This window comes from Homo sapiens, chromosome 5 (genome assembly GCF_000001405.40).
Source record: "Homo sapiens chromosome 5, GRCh38.p14 Primary Assembly".
NCBI classification, from domain to species: Eukaryota; Metazoa; Chordata; class Mammalia; order Primates; family Hominidae; genus Homo; species Homo sapiens.
Window position 1 is genome coordinate 3,505,282 of NC_000005.10, and position 17,325 is coordinate 3,522,606.

At 44.3% G+C, this 17,325-nt stretch overlaps 1 long non-coding RNA gene across 1 annotated transcript in view, besides 7 other annotated features; it reads right to left on the reverse strand.

The window, feature by feature from the left end:
* The window catches only part of LINC01019 (long intergenic non-protein coding RNA 1019), a 118,943-nt gene that overhangs the window by 88,130 nt on the left and 13,488 nt on the right, over positions 1–17,325 (reverse strand). The window lies entirely within an intron of this gene.
* Positions 5,462–5,961: an enhancer, noted in NCBI's record as "H3K4me1 hESC enhancer chr5:3510857-3511356 (GRCh37/hg19 assembly coordinates)". NCBI's record gives its function as "activates a minimal SCP1, AML or CMV promoter by ChIP-STARR-seq in primed H9 embryonic stem cells {active_cell/tissue: H9 hESC(primed)}" and the evidence as "EXISTENCE:reporter gene assay evidence [ECO:0000049][PMID:30033119]".
* Positions 6,032–6,533: an enhancer, noted in NCBI's record as "H3K4me1 hESC enhancer chr5:3511427-3511928 (GRCh37/hg19 assembly coordinates)". NCBI's record gives its function as "activates a minimal SCP1, AML or CMV promoter by ChIP-STARR-seq in primed H9 embryonic stem cells {active_cell/tissue: H9 hESC(primed)}" and the evidence as "EXISTENCE:reporter gene assay evidence [ECO:0000049][PMID:30033119]".
* Positions 6,534–7,033: an enhancer, noted in NCBI's record as "H3K4me1 hESC enhancer chr5:3511929-3512428 (GRCh37/hg19 assembly coordinates)". NCBI's record gives its function as "activates a minimal SCP1, AML or CMV promoter by ChIP-STARR-seq in naive H9 embryonic stem cells {active_cell/tissue: H9 hESC(naive)}" and the evidence as "EXISTENCE:reporter gene assay evidence [ECO:0000049][PMID:30033119]".
* Positions 6,534–8,004: a biological region, named in NCBI's record as "VISTA enhancer hs261".
* Positions 6,583–8,004: an enhancer, noted in NCBI's record as "VISTA enhancer hs261". NCBI's record gives its function as "enhancer in: midbrain (mesencephalon)[7/8]" and the evidence as "EXISTENCE:transgenic organism evidence [ECO:0001131][PMID:17130149]".
* Positions 13,602–14,102: an enhancer, noted in NCBI's record as "H3K4me1 hESC enhancer chr5:3518997-3519497 (GRCh37/hg19 assembly coordinates)". NCBI's record gives its function as "activates a minimal SCP1, AML or CMV promoter by ChIP-STARR-seq in naive H9 embryonic stem cells {active_cell/tissue: H9 hESC(naive)}" and the evidence as "EXISTENCE:reporter gene assay evidence [ECO:0000049][PMID:30033119]".
* Positions 14,847–15,347: an enhancer, noted in NCBI's record as "H3K4me1 hESC enhancer chr5:3520242-3520742 (GRCh37/hg19 assembly coordinates)". NCBI's record gives its function as "activates a minimal SCP1, AML or CMV promoter by ChIP-STARR-seq in naive H9 embryonic stem cells {active_cell/tissue: H9 hESC(naive)}" and the evidence as "EXISTENCE:reporter gene assay evidence [ECO:0000049][PMID:30033119]".

Genomic DNA, 17,325 nt, shown 5'->3' on the forward strand with positions numbered 1-17,325 from the left:
AATGCACTGCACATGTGGAGGGGCTAAGGCAAGATCTGTATTCTCATTCCGTAGTTACAGCCTTCATTTTTGCTTTCTTAGCACTGAAGATTGCCAGCCAGCCTGAGCAGGAGCCTCACCCATGGCCCCAGTCCTGCGGGCAGCTGGAGTGGGGCAGAGTGCTATTTGGTAACCCACACACACACAGGGAGGGCAGATATATCTGGTGTCCCCTACACAGTGTTTAAATTTTAAAAAATCACACAAAAATGATGGTCACTGTCTTTTCTTGAAAACATGTGAGTCCAGCTACACCAAGCTTCCCACGGGATTGCCATCGGCTGAAGCAGGCTGAGCTGGGTGGGCTCTCCGCGCCACTGTGGGCTCACCATGCTGTACTGGACTCCACTGGCCTTTGCAAATGTTTAAATTCATGATCCCAGCTCTACTGAACCAGGAGTTGGCAAGTGTCTTCTGCAGAGGATCATGCAGTAAACATTTCAGGCATCCGAGCCCCTTCTGTCTCTGTGGCAGCTACTCAGCTCTGCATTTCTGCTGCAACACAGCCTCAGATAATACCTAAGCCAATGTGCATTGTTGAGTTTAATAAAACTTTATTCATGGACACTGAAAACTGAATTCTCTAGAATTTTTACATGGCAAAAAATATATTTGTTTTTTTTTGTTGTTGTTCAACCATTAAAAAATTTATACAAGTGATTATTAGCTCCAGGGCCTTAAAAAAGCAAGTAGTAGGCCAAGTGTAACCTGTGGGCTACAGTTTGCTGACCACTAGACTAGTACACAGACTTTGAGAATTAGACAAATTTTATTCAAATCAACTGCTCACATAAAGCAATCCGTGTGCATGAGACTTCACCACGATACCAGTGCTGGGTGGGCCCCATCCCTTGCTATCACAAATGCTACTCTAAAACTGGAATGAACACAGACAAGACCAAAGGAGAAAACTACAGAAGAAGGCATGGGGTCACTGTTGATTTTGACTGACTGGCTCTCCTGTAGGTAAATTTCCAGATGCGGGTAAGACACAGAGAGTGTGACAAGGCCGGGGTAAGAAGGCGTTGGTCACAGGGATTGCAAACTCAGGCAGAAGGACAAGAGAATGACGGGCTCCTCCTAACGAAGGGACAAGGAAGCAGCCTCCTGAATTCAACCTGGAACCTTCCTACAGCAATTATGAAAAGGGAACATACAAGATTGACCGGAAAATGGTGACAACCTCATTCATTCTCATCTCTCCCAGAAGGAAAGCAATTAAAAGGTGATCTTTAACTCATGGTTCTCAAGGAGTGTCCTTTAATTATGTTTCCCTGCTCCGGCAAGTTTAATTGTGTACATTTCTGGCTTCTGTTAGCCTTAAACATGATGTGAGACAAGCCGGCAGAGCTTACACTCTGCTCTCTACACGACCTTGTTTTAGGCACCCTGGCCCTAGCATTTCCAGGGAGAGCATTGAGCCTTGCAAACTCAAGGCTTTTAGCATTGCTCTGAAAAGTAAACAAGTGGAGGATAGATTCCAAAATAGTGACCCCGGCTTTCAAGAGCAGGTTTGCTGGTGTCTGTTGGGCTGCATTGCAGAGACGGTTTCCACGGTTGTCATGTCCCCACTGAATATTAGAATGGGCTACTCGCCTTTCCTCGATGTACCCAAACCTCAACATTAATCAGACTTTGTAAATCTCTGATTTTGTAAATCAGATTTTGTTTGTCAATATTCTAATTAAGAGTTTGAGAGACTAGACATGAGGCAGATAGTATAGGTGTGAAAGCAAAACAATTTTACTCTATTCCAAAGGAAAATACAAACAATGCCAGATAGATACCTGAAGCTACATGTTTTCACCCGCAAGACACATAGGGAAGGGAAGAAGGTAGAACAGCACTGGGGTCAAGAAACAGCTGCTGATGCATTCTCAGCAAACCTTTAATGTTCACTCCCAAAATCACTTATCCCCATATGTTGAAACTATAAAGAGATTATTTTATAATCAAACGTAAAAATAAGGGTTAACTGAAAAGTATGACATTTACAAATTATTTTACAGAAAGCTGTAAGGAAGTTCAATACCAACGAGGAAAAACTCAGTTGTGGATATTTTACGTATGTGTGTATGGATGTGTAAAAGCATTTATATCACCCCGAAGGAGAAAAGGTGTTGAGAGGAGTGTGCTTAGGTTCAAGAAAATTTAAATCAATCCTGATTCTTGTGTTGTCCTGATCACTGGGTGTCATTGATTTAAAAGGTCATACAGCAACTGCAGTGGGTGACGGAGATGTGGTGAAGGGAGGGTTCTGCCCGGTGTTACTTTAACCATGTGACTTGGAAGTGGGAATGGGGTGTATCCAATATCACCTTTCCAGGAAGAAGTCCCCGGATCAGGTTTCCATCGGTCAGATTGCAATTCAAAGACCATGTGTGCCCCAATTTTCTGGAATATGCCTGGCGAAGGCCTAGGCAGGGATGCAATAAAACCAACTCTTGGAGACCCTTCACATCCAATGTTATTCTTCTAATCCCACATATTCAACTAGAGGTTTGCTTGACTCTTTCCAAAACTGGATCCAATTTTCTTTGGCAATTTGTTGCCTCGTCTGTTATCCTTTTATTCAACAAGTTCTTCCTGAATTGCTCAAAAACATGCTTTTGAAATGTTGATATGGATTCTAAAATAGAAGATGTTTACACTTTTAGGATCAAAAAAATACTGCTGTGTTTTATTTCACAACAGCATACTGTTCACAGAGTGATCCTCTTGAAGCTGCCCAGAATTGGTTAAACTTCTGAGAATAAAGGGGAAAAAACATCCCTTATGTCCCACATGTTTTATTCTCTGTAACATAAAACTCTTCGCTGGTTATGAAATATGCAATGTGATTAGTAAGTAGTTAAAACTATAAAAATTCCATCATTATTTTTCTATGGGGAATACCTGATTTTACTGAAAGTGTGTATCACACATAAAATGTGACCAATAAGTACTCACATTTGAACTTGTTCAAATATTGTATAGTAAGCTGTTTATATGGCATGTTAATTTAAAACACACAGTTCTCAGTGACGGTTATAGCCTATTTGTCAATATTATATAAATTAAGTGTTCCTAAAAACATATTTTGACACCAAAGGCAGTGTGCCTGCTGAAGGAGTTATGACGATTATCCCTGGAGCAGGTCCTGTCTTAAACACAGAAACACTGCAATTGGCGCTGTCACAGCACCCAAAACACCTAATTATAATAAAGTGATTTCCAAGTTCTAAGTTGAAAATACATGCTGTCCTCAGCTGTCAAATGGTTTTGAAACTCAGCTTTAGCAACAGAAAAGGCTTGATGTTTACTCAGAACTAGTCAGATCTCCCTTCAAACAGTGTCAAAACAAACCTTCTTCCTAAGAGGCTTCTCCTACTAGATGGCTTATAGTTGTGCCAGAGTAGGGTGGTCCATGGTACTTTTAACACTTAATGTCAGATCACAGAGGAAACAATTGCGCAAAAAAAAAAAAAAAAAAAAAAAAAAAAAAAAAAAAAAAAAAAAAAAAAAAAAAAAAAAAGGACATGTTTTCTAAGTTTAAGCTTCATTTATATGAAGCTAACTAAACACATTTTGGGCCTCAACTTGGCTTTCTTCCTGGGGCTGACATCTTGCAGCCATTCCCACTTTTCCCCACAGTGAAGCTCTGAGACCCCCAGTCTGCCCCACATCGTGTCTTTGCTGTCCTCTCATAAGCAGCACCCCTGGTGCTGACTGGTTGATGGAATGGGACTCCAAGCTTCACCTACTATTTGGTCCCCCTATCCTGTGTCCCTCCATGTGCATGCTAACATATATTTTTTTTGGACAGACATTGAAAGACCTAATTATTAACAACTACATTATCAACAGAACTTAGAATAATCAATATTTATCTAGCATCTACGATATGCTGGTAAAACATTACTAGGCTTTTGAGTTCACTTACTTAATCCTCACAACACCATACAGAATAAGCACTCATACCATTTTGAGGATAAAGAAATTGAGGGACGGGAAGATTAAGTAGCTTGCCCCAATTTAGAAACTTATCTCCCTGTCAGAGCTGGGAGTCAAACCACCTGTCTCACAAGGAACTGACCTGCAGAAGGTAAAGCAGAAGTTTGTGCTTGGCTCAGATCTTCAGCAGTGTAGGTGTGGGGACGTGTCCACTGTCCTCCTCCATCTCACCACTGGAGGCAGTGTTATATCCAAGCCAGCCTTAGGTCCAAGAATATTCTTAACAAACCGAGTGCAGTCCAAGGCACTCACCAACCACTACTAGTATGAGAATTAGTAGTGGCCATAGTCACCTGTGTGTCTACATGCATTATCTAAATGTCCACTAGAATCAAAAAATAATAAGGACTATAGAATGAAAGACCACCATCCCACCTTTGAAAGTAGCCAATCAATGGCTATGCATTACCTCTTACGCTGTGCAAAAAAACTGTACTATGGAAAATATAAGCCTACTGGCCATAGCTATCTTTCCTCAGCCCTTACTACATCCTGAGGGCTGCTACAAAGAGGAAGTTTTAAATCAGCACCTCCATGTTGCAGATGACAAAGCTAAGACCACCACAAATAGTAAGTCGTTTCCTTAAGACTGTCCAGCTGGCCAACTGCTCTACCAGCTGTCACTGTTATGAACTCTTTTGTACGTGGTCCTGTATCTTCCTAACAAGAAAGTGTCCTTCTTATAAGAGCATATTACAGCCTCCTTACGAGAATAGTCAGGAAAATTGGAAAGGAAGACTCAGATGTGTGGAGATAACTAACAAACAGTATAAGGCAATGTATGGTGATAATATTAGAATACTGTATTTTAATATTTGCATCCTATGACTTGCTGTAGGGTCTCTATTTCTAGATATCGCACGTGCAGTCAGTGTCTATGCTGTAAATAATAAAACAAACCAGCACGTTACCCAGCCCTGATCTCACAGGGCCATGGCCTATTTCCATTCACACCTACATGCTAAGTGGATCCTTTATAATGCTGCATTGGGAGAACAATGAGATAATTCTAGAATGACAGGAATTATTATATTGGGGGTTCATTGGGCACAGTCAGTATTTTCAAGAGAAGAAATAGATGCATGCAATTCCTAAATTTGTGTGATAATACACTGTGTGATAGTAAGCTTCTACTCTGCCATTGGTAAACCAACATCCAGGGAGAATTTCAGTAATGGGTGTGGCTGGGAGAATCACGACTGTGGTTCGTGTCCTCCACCAGTGGCAGTGCCATTGGCTGGCTTCGACTCACACTCGCTGCAACAATTGCAAGGGAATAGGCCCCGAAGGACGGGCTTGGCAAGCCTGTGCCGTGAGCCCCGGGAGACCAGGCAGGAGGAGGCACGAAGCTCCTGAGTGTCAGGGGAGACAAGAAAGGTGGATGTCAGGGCAGGAGGTCAAGGCGAAACCTCTCAGCTCAGGGGGAAGAGCACGAGCTCAGGGCTGGCAGCAGGATGGGGGATGATGGGAGCGGTGAAGGAGAGGCGCCTTCCTGCAGACAAACAGCAGGGGAAAGGACAGGAAGGGAGGGGGTGGAGAGAAGGTGAGTAGCGTAGTGAATAATACAACCGGCATGGGTTGGAGTCACCAGCAAGGCCCCAGAGCCTGCCTGCACACAGCAGCCCTGCTAACACCCCTATGGCCAGAGAAAGCAGGACCACCTTTGTTATAAAGAGGGATGAAGAGGAAGGAGCAAAGGCGAGAGGGCCTGGTATAAGTGCTTTCCAGCGGCGTCATTCACGGCAGAAGACCCTCCCACCACAGAGCTCTGGGCGCCTGTCTTTCTCCACTTGTGAAGGATGGATTTTCCTCCAAGTCAAAAGACACTGCTGGTAGTTGACTTTTTAAATGCCTGTGCTATGAATGTGCCAGGAGTAAGTCATGCAGTTACACTGTTTTATGAGCCTCTACATTTGTGAAAACTTGATGCTGCCTGAAACGTCTTGCTCTCCCCGCTACCCGAGACACAAGTGTCACATGTCCCTTTCATGTCCACTCCCTGCCCTCCCTTCATGTATTCAGACCCCTCCTGTGCATAAGAATAGACTTTCTCCTCGTGCTTGCGGGAATGGGCTTCGTGAGTTACCAAATTGGATATTTTGCTTGAACGGAAAAGGTGTTTGTCACTTTTTCTGCAAATAGTGCATGAAAATCTTTCATAAATGATGCATAGTGCTTCCATGAACTGGGCTCCAACGCAGCAATAACTCTTGTAACTGTATCTGAAATTTGAAAAGCAATTATGGAAGTATGTCCTGCCTGAGCAAAATATCTCCTCCTGCCATTTGGCCACCACACAGCTTAGAGCAAATATTTGAAGCTGGAATTAGGACTCGCTGCCATGCATACTTAAATGAAGAGACAGGAGGCTCTCACCAGAATCCTCAAACCCAGGCTGGAGATGGCGACCACTGCATGCCTGTGAATTCACATGCGTGCACATGGGTACGTGTGTGTGTGAATTCATGTGCATATGTGGGGGGGGGGGCTGTGTGTTTGAGTGGGTATGTGCGTGTGTGCGTGTGTGTGCCTGTGTGTGTGCGTGCGCGCTAGAGAGAGGAATGCCCCTCTCTTAGGTGGCAATCTGAGCCAACATATACATTCATAACCCAAAACACTGTGTGAAAGCAAATCTAAGCCCAAAAAACCGTAATGAGCAGTCTTACCCGCCCACGTTAAGCAGTTCAAACTCCACTCCAGACGCACAGCCACTGAATAAACAAGGAGATAGTATTTCTGAAGTAGAATTAAATAGCTTAAAGCAGTTTTCAAAAAAAAAAAAAAGGGCAGCAAACTGAAGCCTTTTAAGGATTACTCAGAGGAGTTTATTTACTGTGTCTTTTCCATAAAGGATATATGGAAATCAGAGAGCTACAGACACCACTCATGGCCTGTTTTGAAATTCAAAAACGGATGTGGGGGGGAGAGAAAACTACATTGTCCTTTCTCGGCAGAAAGATGCTTCCCCCTCGTTCTCACCATGACTGTCATAGTAATCTGATATGACAAATTCACACACACTGGATTAGCAGCCGGTGGAGAAAGACTAAGCGGTTAATATTTGTTGATGTTGCTTTTATCTAGCAGGTTTGTGTCCCTGGGCTGTGGTTACCTTGGCAATGCGGATATAACCATTTTCTGAAGCTGTTAAAAATGCCAAGGAGATTCTCTCTTCAAAATTCCAGGGCCTGCGGGCTGCTTGTCATTTTGTATGCTGTCAAAATCCTTGATGTTTCTCGACTCTTGATGTCAGGCTATGAAAAATGCTTAGCTCAATTTAAGCCTCTCGCAAAAAAGGGCTAACAACTGTAATTAAATCATTAAATTCTTGTCTACGCTTCACAGAGCATAGAGAAAATTAACTTCCCACCAACCTCATTTTCTACTTGAACATGAAATAATGATTTTTTGCTCATATAATTACAAAGCTAACATCTGATAGAGTCAGCATCCAGGGGGGATTATCGCATGCATGAGTATTAGACCTCATTACCAGCTTGACTGCAAAATTATTACATCTTGTAATTGGATGGTGAGATTTATATACAGATTGGCCGGGTTTCTGTAAGATTGTAATTACAAGCTTCATTGGTTTGCTACTTATCGGAACTTCACAGAGAAAACAACTGGTAAAATGAAATGAGCATTTCATTAACCTATTGCCTTATCATGGGAAAACCTGTGTAACAGCCGTGTATGCATTAACATAAATAGGATCATTCATTTCTATGCCAGATAGACGAGCTTATGTGTGCCTGTGTGTGCGCGTGTGGAAGGGAGGTGTGTTGTGGGCATCCATCCTTGTTCAGTTTATTTAACCTTCAAAATCCGAGCTGATGGAAAAAATAATAAAGTAGTTATCTATTTTACAAGGATGAACACACTATATCTATTACTTAAAGGCTAACTGGCTGTGAAAGTGCTCGTTTCATGAGAGGCGAGCACTATGATTCTTCAGGAGCAAAGAGGTGGCTGCTTTGATGTTCCTTTCAATGTTAACAAAATCTCTGGCCTTGTTCCCTGCTCAGATACAACGGCGGCTGGAGATTGGATGCCCACATAAATAACCTCCTCACACAGTGACATACGGGATCGATCCGGGGTCTTGATTTGATGGGTGCCCACACAAAGAAAAAGAGAGAGAGTGCGGGAGAGGCAGAAGGAGAAGGGGAGACACAGAGACAGAGGGGTGAGAAAGAGAGAAAATAAAATTGTTCAATTACACAGCAAACACCATTTTTCTTTCTTTAACAAGAGATTTCATGGTGTGGTCGATGTCTGGCAGGTCCAGCTGAGTGCCACTAATGTCAGCATTACCCTCCTCCAATCGGCGGCCTGGCTGTAATGGAGTTGTTATTGAACTTCATTGTTTGGATTAGGTTTTTCAGCTGGGATCAATGCTGTTTTAACATGAGACTGATAAAAGCCGTGATGGAAATCTGGAGCTTCCAAACCTTTCTGAACAAATGCCTGGCATTAGAGTGGCCACTCTGGCCCCTCGGAGAGCTCCAGGTCAGCGCTTCTGCCCTCAGCCCTGCTCACGAGACCCAGAGCTCAGGCGCAGAAAAAATCGCATTCAAAATCATCGTGCAGCAAACCCATTTTTTCAGCCCAAACCTAAAGGCATAAGCCACCATCTAAGCAGGAGGCAAAAGCACCTCCCACCCTCTGCAGAGTTCCTTTCACTCTAAGATGACTTCACGTTACATAAAACATTCAAAGATAGGAGACAACTCTTCCAATATTTGGTTACCTCCAATAGTTCTGTTTTTTATTTAAAAAGAAAAACACAAAATATTTAATTCCGTCTTTTTTTTTTAGAAAAAAAGAGACAATGCAGGGAATTTGATTTCAGAGATAAACAACCACATTTCACTATAATAACACAGAGCAGGATGTTACCGTTTGACATCAAAATCAGAAGAAAAAATGCCATTAAAATGCAAGAAAAAATAAGGCATGCAAAGCAAATAAAATTGTAGTATTCAATAGGAAAGGAAAGTAATTTGAGTTGTTGCAGACATCTATGTATAATGTGTTTGCCTGGGTATTTATCTCCTTACTAAAGGTTTTTTTTTTTTTTTTTCCCACTGATTTTTGTAAAAACCTGAGGCAAGTTTCCATGGGACTTCTGGCTGGGGAGTTGCGGTGGGGTGTGGCCTTGAGTTTCCATGAGCAGGTTGCGTTGCAGCAAATCAATAAACAAGCCCTTTTTCATGTTAGTAATGCGCTCGCTGTGATTTTTATCTGCATAATAAATCTAAAGTTGGGACCCTGGCTACTGAGCAAAAACGAAGACCAGCCCAGAGAAGGAGCTTAGGGAGAAATATAGAGATGAGAACAGCCCACAGCTAGGGGCAGGTTTGGAGAAGCTTAAATCTAAACTTATTTTTCTGCCTTGTCACTTTGACTTTTAATATTTACGATCAGTAAAGAAGCAAACTAATGATATGGTAAACCCAAGAGTGTCTGGAGATGATTCTGCTTTTGTAATTGTGTGCAATCTTAAAAAAAAAGAAAAAAAAAGACAAGAAAATGTGAGGACTTCAAAGTGAAAATAAAGAAAATAAATGTTTGCCTTTCTACACAGTGGGGAATAAGAAATGGCTTCCAGGAATAGGTGGAAGGCTGATCACTGGAAAATGTACTGGTCACCTGGAGTCCAGATGCACACCCCAGCCAGGGCACAGCAAACTCAGACCCATCCTCCTCCTCATCAGTGAAAGCCAATGCCCTCTCTTTCCAGCCCCCCACACAGGCCAGCACTGGGAGGTGCAGATGGAGCACCTGGCAACTCTGCCATGCTGGAAGATGCTGAGGACAGGAGGGCCCAGGCATGGGACAAGTGTCTCTCCATGAGGCAGGAAGCAGAGCTGCACACCCGCCCCCCTGCCCCGGTGTCCCCAGTAATACCAGCATCTGTCTTCTACTTTGGGGGTCAGAAAACTCACAGGGTAACAACTGAGTTTTATCCCCATAACATTGCTGAGAGATACTGAGCAGGAATCATCACTTCTAGGTGAGAAGTGGCCCAGGGGAAGGGGATGCTGTGCCTCAAATTGAGGGATTAACTCAGGGCAAAATCAGGACCAACACAGCCCACTCCCTACTCAGGCCTGCTGTGTGGGATTTGTTTTTTGTTTGTTTGTTTTGTTTTGTCCAATCCACATTTCCATTATTATTGTATAATTGAATAACTGTATACATTGTATTTAGATATAATGTTTGAAAAGTCCTGAAGAGAGAAAAATACTTCTTAAAAAACAGAAACGGAGTGGAATCATTCATGTTGAAAACAAAGTTGAGTGTAGCTTTAAGGGTTTCTGGTGTGAACAGCCCTGGCAGCTTGCCTCTGGTGGATGAGAGTAAACCCCCAGCCTGCCTGCAGCCTTCACCCCTGCCCAAATGCAGGAGGCCCCTCTAGGTGAGCCATGTCTTGCAGAAACACTGCTGGATCTTGGGCATCATTTATCCAAAAGGCAAACATTATTTTAAAATAGGGGTCAAGGAAAGATAAGTTCTGCTCAGTTGACCACAGCACTCACTAAATCCACAGACACAGAGTGAAGAAGAGGGTGGGGACTGGCAAGGTGGAAGGGGCTTGTTAATCACCAGAGAAGCAAGGGACATGACCCAGAGGAGAAGAGCAATGAGGAGTGAACAGAGAAAAGATAAAAGGAGCAAGATACAGAAACCCAAAATGCCCCATGAGAACAAGCAATAGTAATTTCTCACTTTCCAAAGGATCAGTCCATTTTAAGGTCTATGTACATCACAGGTGAAAGGATTGATGCCAATTATATAATCAGTGTGTTCGTTTGTTCTTGCATTGCTATAAAGAAATACCTGAGACTGGGTAATTTACAAAGAAAAGAGGTATGATTGCCTCAGGGTTCTGTAGTCTGTGAGCCAATTAAACCTCTTTTCTTTGTAAATTATCTTGCAGGAAACATGATGCTCGCTTCTGCTCAGCTTCTGGGGAGGCCTCAGGAAACTTGCAGTCATGATGGAAGGCAAAGGGGGGGGGCAGGTGCATCTCACGTGGCCAGAGTAGGAGCGAGAGTGAGCAAGGGGAGGTGCCACACACTGTTAAACAACCAGATCTTGTGGGAACTCTATCATGAGAGCAGCACTAAGGGGATAGTGCTAAACCATCAGAAACAACCCCCGTGATCCAATCAAATCCCACTAGGCCCCACCTCTAGCATTGGGGTTACATGTCAACATGAGATTTGGGTGGGAACACAGATTCAAACCATATCAATTAGTTTGCTAAGAAACGTCAAAAAAGCACACGCCCTATCAGCAAGGAAAACGACAGAAATAAGTTCGGGCGAGGTTTTTAGCTAACCTGGGGACAGACCTCAACACAGTACAGTGGCAAGGTTCGCAATCAAATGATCAATACAAAATAATCAATACTTGGTGAATGGATCAATCATCAGTCAACCAGCAAACTGTTTTTTTTTTTAAGTCTTCAGGACCCTGGTGTAAATTTACTGAGACCAAAAACCTATGAAGCAAGAATCATTTTCTTTTCAAGCTGAAAAGTAAATGTACCTGCAGGAAGCAAAGCTAAGTTAAAATAATCAGGACTTGATGTGAGAAGAGACAAATTTTGATGGTCAATAAAAGAAAGACACTGTCATCTGGAACAGCTGAAGATGACCTGGGCTGGGGGTCCGATGCTGATTGGTCAAACTCTCAGATGGCATCAACTTTGGGCGTTATCTCTCCTGCTACCTAGGGAGAGGTCAGCAAGGCTCTTAATGCCCAAACATTCTTCAAGGGTGGCTTTTGCTTATTCTAACAAGCCTAAGTTTGAAGGGTCTAGGAATCCTAGGCTAAAATGCTCCCTATATAATTCTTCCAGGGAGATAGTTATGTTTACTAATGGAAAAGTCTGTCTTGGTGCCAGAGGTCTGAATTTCGAAATTACCTCTTCTATTGTAAATTCTATAAACTCAACTCCTGGGACTAGACCAGGGTCTAAATTCTGAGTTCCTTCTTTCCTGAGGGCAATATTGGACATTTGCTGATGCTTACAAATGTGTCCCACGATTTAGATGCATTGAATCCACTCATTAGGGCCATCGTTCCCACATTGAGGCCGAGACCCAGGAGACCAGGGTCTGCTCTCTACCTCGCCACCCCCTCCCCCCGTCTTTCTGCTCTGAGTCCCCTTCTTAGAGGTCTTTGATTTCAAAGCGAGCTCTGTGCATCAAAGGCTTGCGTGGTGAAGAATGCGGAAGGGGAAGGACTTGGCCCAGGGCAGCTGAATGACTTGGTATTGTTTGAAATCACAAGAACTGCTTTGGTCAGTTTCTGACACATGCTCGATCTCATATTTCTCCCCTTTTGTTTCTGCCATATAAAAGAATAGTAGAGAGAAAAAAATATATTCTCAAAATGTACTGTGGGAGAATAGAGGTACAGATGTCTGTCCTTCTTTCCTTCTTTCTAAATTTCTGTGTCTTAATTACCATAGAGTTTGCAGAGTGGAAAAGAAAATACCCTACCATAATACAGGAAGTAATCAAAAGCCACATCATGAATTTGTTTCTCCCCCCCCCCACTATGAAAAGGTAGAATATGAATAGAATGGGAAAGTCCATTAGAATAATTTGCTATTCATGATGAATTATAAATGACATGATGTACTCTTCATACATATCTAATATAAACTTAAAATTTAGCCCTGTAGATTGCCTGCTGAATGACAGAGGCATGGCCACTTTTCTTGGAGCTGGCATTAGATTCTCACTGGGCTTTAACCTCTTGTTTTGTCGTTCTGAGATAGGTGAATAAGCTACTCTGTACCATCAGCCCCTAACAGCACAGAGAACGCAAACGCTGTTAGTCCTGCTGGTGAATGACCGAGGGGAGATCAGTCCATGTTTCCTCCCTGAATCCAAATTAGTCTCGCAGCTGGAGAGGCATCAGTGGCTGATAATGGCCTAACAACCTCCAGCACTAACAGATATGACCTCGGCGGTGGTGACAGGAATGCAAAATGCTGGCTGTGCGCGTGCACACCGCCACGGGAGCTTGGAGCCACCTTGAAAAACAAAATGTCCTAATAGAAAAAGAATAAGGCCAATCAATATGTGGCAGATATCACAACAGCAACTTGAAAGCATCAAAGCTGGTTCTCTTCCAGTCCCAAAGAAAAAAGGATGTTTCTAGGGATCCTTAAAATAACGAGGAATATTGCCATTCAGGCCATTCACTTAAAGAGGACTCCTGTGTTTAGGCCTCCCTCCATGCAATTCCACGCCTTTTCTCTGCTCAAACACCTCCAATGTCCTGGTGACCAGGTGGACCATCCGGGCTCTTGGCCCATGCTGAGCCATGCTCCCATAACCTCTGAAGACCAGCAGCACCAGGAGGCACTTTCCTTGTGTGCTGTGTTTGAAAGAGATTTTTCTTTACCCAAAGTTTACACATTCTTTGGCCACACTTGTTCATTCGATGCCATTCAATGAACACATCCTGGGCATCTACCCAGGGCCAAGCACGGGGTTTGGGGTACAGCTGACCCATGAGGAGCTCCTGTCCCATAGAAAAGGCATGACACGGGGACCGGGAGGGCATCCCCATGTGGCGATGGGGGTGTGGAGGAGCACACACAGGACATGGCAGGAAGACGCACCGCCCTGCAACAGGCCGGGAGCAACTTCTGCTCTGGGGTGCAGATGAACTTTGCTTTCCTATAAGGAAATAATGCTTGAGGTTGGCTTCCCTTTAAAAGTCACCCATAGATATTTTTGCCTTAAACAAATAAAATTATGGAATACTCCGGGTGTGTGTGTGGACCACGTAATCACTGAAATCTTAGCCATGATTATTGTCCTGAAAAATAGAAAAGCCACTTTGTAGTTCCCCCATGTAATAACCATGTGGTGAAGAGCAGGCCCTGCCTACCTGTCTGTCCTGTATGAGCGTGCAACTCGCCAGGGGCAGGAGCCTATCCTGCTGATCATTAGAGTCTATCACATAGCATAATGCACAGCAGATACTAAATCCTTCAAAAAGAGACCTATCTGCAATTTCTATTTGTGATCTATTTGTGATCTATCTGTGATTTCTAGAGATATCACATCTAATAGTTCGCAATGGACAGTACTTAGAGAAATAGGAAACAATCAGAGAATGAGTTGATTGTGCTTTTGAATATAATTTGATTCAATGGTTTCTACTTAGAGCAATGATATTGACACATAAAAGATTTACTGATTTTAATTTCATCATTAGAAACATATAAATGTAATATATACATGTGAAAAGAAAGATATTTTATTCACAAAGAGCCAGTAATTACTATCTCTTCTGGTGACAGCTCTAGCCTTGTGCACCAAGGTGCAAAGCCAGGACCAACCCTGGGCCAGGCTGTTTCTGTCTGTGTGGACACGGCTGCCCTGCACTTGGTTGGCCTCCAAGACAGACGAAAAGCTAGCAAGCAGCCTCAGGGAAGACTGCGGTGCACTCAAGGCGGGAAGCTGCAATTTCCCAAATATCAAAGGATGTTCCACAATGTTGTCTTTTCCACACTGCAATTTTCATAAATGAAAGCTTAGCCCTGAGCTTTCCTTGAAACAGGATTGGATGTGTGGGGAGTCTGAAAAGCCGGTCCAAGTAGTCCTGTGACCTCTCTCTCTGTTGCTCTGGTTCTGTGGGTTAAGAAATCTCTATCGATTAATCACCACATACGCACACATACATGCATACACGCACACGTACATGCACACACGCACATGCACACACACATGCATGGGCTTGCACAGGAGGAGGGCGTTGCCTGGTTCGCCAGCCTCCTCCTATTATGTCCTACTGAGACCAGAATTTAGGCCTTCCCTAGAGTGAGGGCCCACAAAGTCCAGTCACAAAATACACAGCAGAATTGTGGTTGCATTTTTACCTTCTAAAGGTAGCAATTTCTGTGTGAGTTAGATTCAGTGGACTGTAATTATGCAGACGCTTAGCATTCCCCACGTCTTCGTCCATGCTGGGGATGCTTTCCCTGGCTGGGTTTTCCCACAGTGAGCTCGGCGCCAACTCAGGAGACAGCAGCTGTAACAGGCCGTGTGGAACTGAGACGTGACCTGTGGAGCTCTGTTCCCTACTACTGTTTCACCTTTGTGACATGATGTGCCATGACAAGCGACCAGTCAGGGAGAGTACAGCTACCCCAGTTCTGAAAGGAGGGTGGTGACTCTGGCCCACAATCAAGAGATGCCAAGGAGTGTGTGGGCTCCCATGGCAAACACGCCCAGCAGCAGCAGCAGCAACAGCTCAGCAGGCCTCCTCACTTCCGGCCTCTCCACCTTCCTAGCTCCTGACCAGTGAGGAGCAGGCACATCCTGTGTGTGGAGGGACCAGCAGGTCCCCTTAAGACTCCACCCTCCAGTTGTGTGGAATCTACGCATCGGACCCAATGCGGAAGCCACGGGAGTGGTAAGGATGAGAAGTCCACTGCCCCCGGAGCATGCCTAGTGGCATTCCTGGGACCCAGCGCTGGGCCATATGCTACCACCAGGCAGCTGCTGCAGCAGGAGCCAGGTCTTGCAGATACCACTGTCCCGCTGAGGACACAGGACCCCATCTCAGCAGAAGGACAGTTCTACACTTCAGGAAAGTGAAGGACTCCCTCTTACTCCGGGGTAATGGGTGTAAACCTTCCCGTTTTAAGTGAGAGGAGGTGGGACTGTTATTTTGCTTTCAACAAAGTCAAAAAAAGGAAAAAGGGCAAAGGGATTCTTGATCAAAGGATACAGACATTCAGTTATAAGATGAGTAAGTTCTGGGGATTTAGCTGCAGCTTGGGGACTTTAGTTAATACAACCATATTGTGTGTTTGGAATCAGCTGAGAGAGTAGAGCTTAAGTGTCCTCACCCCCCCCCCCCCCCACACACACACACACGTAACTCTGTGAGTTGATGGACATGTTAATTACCTTGATTGTGGTATTCATTTCACAAACTGCATGTATATCAAATCATTGCATTATACACTTAAATGATGTAAATGTACAATGTTTATTTGTTAATTATACTTCAATAAAGCTGAGGAGAAGGGGGGAAAGGAAAGGAGGGCCCACATAGTCGACGGGGTCCCAAGGCAGCCAGGTGGTGGCAGCTGGGCCTTGTCCGTCAGCAGCAAGGCAGGAAGAACCAGGGCTCCAGGGTGAGTGCTTCCACGTCTCATAGGGAGCAGCTGATGCCCATGAGGCAGGTCTGGGTTGGGCAGGCATCTAGAGGAGCTGGGGTTTGAACCGGGTCTAGAAGATGATTAGGGTTTTGCCAGTTGGAAAGGGAAGAACAAAAACCAAGAAGGAAAAATGATTCTCTAAATAATCGGGTTTGACACTGAAATCCCTGCCTGCCCCCTCTTCCCTGCACCTCACAGGGTCTTCCTGGTTCTTGCAGGGGCTCCCCCTTATGCTCCCTTGCCTCCCTCCACCAAAAATAAATTCCAGTGCATTTCAAAGGCCAAGAATTACACACTTTAAAATCCTACACCAGAAACGGGATGGATGGTGCTGAAAACGGGATTTCAAAGAGAACAGAGGATAGCTCCAAAATAAGGTCTTTTAGAGTAGAAAAAAATACAAAAATAAGTAGCAAACAATTGGGAAAGTAACGAAATTGGATTCCAGCATGGTCTGTATGGTCATGAAGCATGGGGACCCCCAAGCCTTGCTGCGAAGCATTAGGTCCCTCTAATGAGTGTTTCTGTATAGCCTACATGGGGAAGATGACCGCAGGGCACTGAGGCGCCTCTCACCCCAGCCCAGGGCTGGGCAGGCCAACCAGAGGTATCTGAGCTGAGTCTCTCAGCAGAGGCTTGGGTTGAGATTCTTCAAGGCATCACCTGCAGGTGTCAGGTGCAGAAATTAAACCTCCATTCACTCTCTATGGATTTCTGGGGCTGCCTCTCCTGGAGTTGCTGTCTTCAGTGATCATGAGTAGAAAGCCACCAAGGACTTGGGAAGTGAGGAAGAAAGGACCAGGAGGCTGCCCACATGTGAAGTGTCGAAGAAGGTGTGCGGGCAATTTGTCCAGGGCTTCTTGATGGGGTGCTGTGAGTTCAATAGCATCCCCCAAACAATATGTTGAAGTCCTAACACCTGGTACTCGTTACTGTGCCCTTCAATGGAAATAGAACCTTTGTAGACATAATTAAGATGTGAGCTAAGCTAAGGACCTACTGGAGGAGAGTGGGCGCTAATCCAATATGATGGCCTTTCCTAGGATAGAAGAGGCCCAGGCAGACACACAGAGAGGGTCTTGTGA